The 4917-nt window shown below is 38.8% G+C and overlaps 1 annotated feature.

Moving 5' to 3' along the window:
- Nucleotides 1844-2022: a silencer, noted in NCBI's record as "fragment chr14:20688795-20688973 (GRCh37/hg19 assembly coordinates)". NCBI's record gives its function as "represses an EF-1alpha promoter that drives an FKBP-Casp9 reporter gene in an ReSE screen in K562 erythroleukemia cells {active_cell/tissue: K562}" and the evidence as "EXISTENCE:reporter gene assay evidence [ECO:0000049][PMID:32094911]".

Genomic DNA, 4917 nt, shown 5'->3' on the forward strand with positions numbered 1-4917 from the left:
CTGGAGAGAAAATCACACACAAATATACACAAATACATAAACTCAGATACACACATGTACACACATATTCTTTCTCCTCCTCCTCCATTAACCTCCCACCCCCATCCCCAGGTAGATCAGTTCCTTAAAGGGAGGATATCTCCACAAAGGGGAAAGTGTTTATGGTATCTTTTAGATAACTATCCTGACTTCTGTGTCTCACTAGTCAAACCATTGGGGAAAACATAAACTATAAACAGATATAGAAGGAATTTGATACATGCTCAGAAATACAGGCAAAGGAAGTAGGTGCCTGCCAGTGAACACAGGGGAACTATGGCTCCTATTCACAAGAGACTTGTAAACTCTTAATAATTGCTGATGTGAAAAACACATTTCATTTGGTTTGGAATACTAAAGGAAGCAAGTTTCTGGAACCACAAATAACACTCTCCAACCATGACTCAGCTTTTTGGTTGTGTAAATGACGAGATTCCTGCAGCTGGAGTTTGTCTCACATCTTCCTCTTGGAACCAAAAATGCCATTAGGTATGTAAGGAAAGTCTGCCTGCAGCGGTACACCACCGTTCCTGTGCATTCAGTGCTGCCAGATGCTAAGAATACGTGGTTCTTCTGCAAATCTGTGAATTCTTTGTTCCTTAGTTCTTTGCACGAACATTGGCCCCTCACTTCTCTTCTCCCAGCATACTCCTAAAGAATGCCCGGGTGATATATTCACATTAAGGGCTCACTCAGGTATCTCAGAGTTCCCACTATACAACTCAGTTAGGGAAAATAATGTTCAAAGTTCTTGCTTATTTGGGGGGACCATTAAATTCCCTTCAGTTAGAATGTACCGAGTCTTTTACCTCCTTGTTTGTAAATTAGTCACTGAAGTTTTTATTGACAGACTCTTCTTCAGCTGGAACAATTAAAGCAAGCTGTTATTTTTTTCAGAGTTGTTGGCAAGTGACAAATGGCAAGTGAAAACCTCTTGTGAAAGAAGTAGAACAGCAGACTCTCCTTTCCTTTGGATTCACCTACAGAGTAATTTTTAAAACATAAATACTTAAGAGAAGAGCCCCAGCACTTATAATTCTAAAAGTGCTCTTCCGTGGGCAAGTGTCTTAAATTCCCAGCAAGCGGATGGGGCTGGAGGAGGATGTAGCTCCCTTGTCGGTTCACATAGAATGTGTTGCCCAAGCGCTTTGTTCCTCCTCTTCTCTCCAATTGCCCATTTGTACTCTCACTTGAAGTGAATAGAAAGACAAAAGAGGTGAATTTAAACTTACTATTTGAGTTCCTAGTAAATGTACTTTGGTGATGGAGGCAATAGAAATGAATGCAGTGAGGTTTTTTTAATTATCTGTGAAGTTTAGTTATCCATCTTTCTCTGACCCTATATTCCATAGATAATTAAAATTTCACTGTGTTTGAAATAATGTCATCAAGGTCTTGAACATTACGAAGTCAAATAATGAGCAGGTGGGGACTGGGCACAGTGGCTCACACCTGAAATCTCAGCACTTTGGAAGGCCAAAGCAGGTGGATCACATGAGGTCAGGAGTTCAAGACCAGCCTCACCAACATGGCAAAACCCCGTCTCTACTAAAAATACAAAAATTAGCTGGGCGTGGTGGCAGGCGCCTGTAATCCCAGCTACTTGGGAGGCTGAGGCATGAGAATTGCTTGAACCCAGGAGGCAGAGGTTGCAGTGAGCTGAGATCATGCCACTGCACTCCAGCCTGGGGGATACAGTGAGACTCTGTCTCCAAAAAAAAAAAAATTAGCCGGGTGTGGTAGCCCAAGCCTGTAATGCCAGCTACTCAGGAGGCTGAGGCATGAGAATCCCTTGAACCCAGGAGGCGGAGGTTACAGTGATCACACAGTGCAGGGAGATCACGCCACTGCACTCCAGCCTGGACCACATAGCAAGACTCTGTCTCAAAAATAATTAATAATAATAAGCAGGAAGGAGTCAATTATGAGGTCCGGTTCCAGATCAATTATCATCAGTTGGAATTATATTTCTTTTCTCAGTACCAAAAATTTCCTGGCCTGTGAGTAGGATAAATTAATTCATGTCTCATTCTCTACCTACTGCCTTGAAAAGCCCAAAATATCTAATTATCTAATTTATGCCAAGCAAAATTTGTTATCATGTCCCCTGTACTACAAAGATTTATTCAAGTTATTTCTAACTGGAGTAAATATCTTTTTTCAGACCCACAGCATGCAGTTGGACGTGCTGCAAAAATACACAGCTCAAGGAACCCCCAGCCTATGCACATGACTGTGCAGATATAGGTTGTAATCTTGATAGTTTTTATAAAACCTGAGTTCCAAAAGGGGAGGAATTTTATTTTGTATATTCACCATTATAACCCCAGAACTCAACACACTGCTAGCAATATAATAAATGGTGAATAAACATGTGTTAAATTAAATTCTTGAATAAACAAATAAATACATGAAATGCTACGATTTAAATTTAACATCCAACCTTTTTTTATTTTTTATTTCTTTTGTTTTAGAAACTTTTTTTTTATACTTTTAAGTTTTAGGGTACATGTGCACAACATGCAGGTTTGTTACATATGTATACATGTGCCATGTTGGTGTGCTGCTCCCATTAACTCATCATTTAACATTAGGTATATCTCCTAATGCTATCCCTCCCCCCTCCCCCCACCCCACGACAGGTCCTGGTGTGTGATGTTCCCCTTCCTGTGTCCATGTGTTCTCATTGTTCAATTCCCACCTATGAGTGAGAACATGCAGTGTTTGGTTTTTTTCCTTGCCGTAGTTTGCTGAGAATGATGGTTTCCAGCTACATCCATGTCCCTACAAAGGACATGAACTCATCATTTTTTATGGCTGCATAGTACTCCATGGTGTATATGTGCCACATTTTCTTAATCCAGTCTATCATTGTTGGACATTTGGGTTGGTTCCAAGTCTTTGCTACTGTGAATAGTGCCGCAATAAACATACATGTGCATGTGTCTTTATAGCAGCATGATTTATAGTCCTTTGGGTATATACCCAGTAATGGGATGGCTGGGTCAAATGGTATTTCTAGTTCTAGATCCCTGAGGAATCGCCACACTGACTTCCACAAGGGTTGAACTAGTTTACAGTCCCACCAACAGTGTAAAAGTGTTCCTATTTCTCCACATCCTCTCCAGCACCTGTTGTTTCCTGACTTTTTAATGATCGCCATTCTAACTGCCAACCGTTTTTTTAAATTGCAAGCCCAGTAATTATATTTTCCAAGAATGACATAGCATGTAGTGTGGGAAATACAAGCAGTTATGGAGAGTATATTTGAGAGTAATTACAACTGTCCTAAAAATTCTGATGCATGTGATCATGATAATTATTATTCATTAAACTGAACTGCTTGGACAAAATTTACATTTTCCTAAAAATCATGTTTATTAGAGAAATTGTTGTATTATTCTTAAAATATTGTTAACATGAATATCCAAAGTTACCTCGGCAATAAAACATTTATGCTTTTGGGTTTGCTCCAGGTTTGATCAAGTACTGAAAGGCAGGCCTCTCGCTCTCTGTGGATCATATAAATGATGTAAAGATGGAATTTTGTGAGTATCTTAACAGTGACGCTAATAATACAATAAATTATCCTAATTTTAAAGTCATTATATTGCTAAATTTAAAATATTGATAGTGGCTTACCCAGCCAAATATTCTGAACTTTAACAAGGATATTTGAGGACACAGAAATAAGCCTGCTGGACCAATAGTTTCTAGAAAATTGTTAGCAAAATATCTAAGTTATTTATCTTGTCTCAACTCCTGATTTAGAAAATATCAGAAAGATCTTTCTGTTCTCTGCACATCCTGAGGTGACTCTTTTATTCATTATTTAATTTATGGAAAAGCAAGATAATGAAGGGACAAATTATAAAGTTTAGGACTTAATTTCTAGCAAAAATAAAGGCACATGGCTTTATTACTAGAGAAATTGATTTACCCAACAGCAAGCTCCCTCAAGAGCTAAGTCATGATGTAGAATAGTACAATTTGTTGGAGAAGGAGGCTGACAAGCAGGGAAAATGGTGGCCTGCCAAAGAAGTCATAGGTAAGGGACATAACAGCTGCCTTCAGTTATTTAAGACCTCACTACCACCATCATGGGAGAGGAATTAGACTTATTTTGTGTAGTTTCAACAAAGTCAAAGTTTACCTGCTGACTTGGGGAGTACCAAGATCAATGGGTAAAAGTAATAAAGGATACAAAGTTTGCTCACCATAAAGAAGGGCTTTGAGAGAACTAGAGCTCCTCACGAGAAAAAGGGGCTGGATTATTCAGCAAATCCAGATGCCACCAGGGAGAATGTGATCTGGGGGGAACTAGATTTGTAGCTTTCAGACCATTTTACAGATTCCTAAGGGTTCTGCAGCACCTCCCTGAGAGTAGCAAAAGGAAGGGAGCTGAAGACTCCCCAAAGTTTAATTCCTATCTGCTTTTTATTGGACTTCTACATATGAGGCTCTAAGAAGGCAATTTTAATATAGCAACTATTCTTGCTTCAGATTTATACTCAATTTTGCTTTAAAGTAAAAGAATATATCCAAAGTTTATATTTATATGTAGAGTATCTAAGGGGCAGTGATTTTACCATTAAAGATGAAACATTACTGAGACTCAGGGTTATAGAAAATTTGAAGTGAAACATGATTTGTTCCAAACCAATCTCCAAATAGGCCAGTGTATCTGGGCGTTACTGGCTTTGTACATATGTTTAAGTGAACCCTTCTAATCTCTTTGAACTTCAATTACCCTGTCTGTGAAAGAGAAGGGTAAAGAATACCTCCTCGCAGCTCAAAGAGTCATTAGGAAGACCAAATGAGATAATGTATGTAAAAATACTTAGTACATCATCCAGCATGAGTTAGCAAAATCTCCAA

The sequence above is a fragment of the Homo sapiens genome, chromosome 14 (genome assembly GCF_000001405.40).
Source record: "Homo sapiens chromosome 14, GRCh38.p14 Primary Assembly".
NCBI lineage: Eukaryota > Metazoa > Chordata > Mammalia > Primates > Hominidae > Homo > Homo sapiens.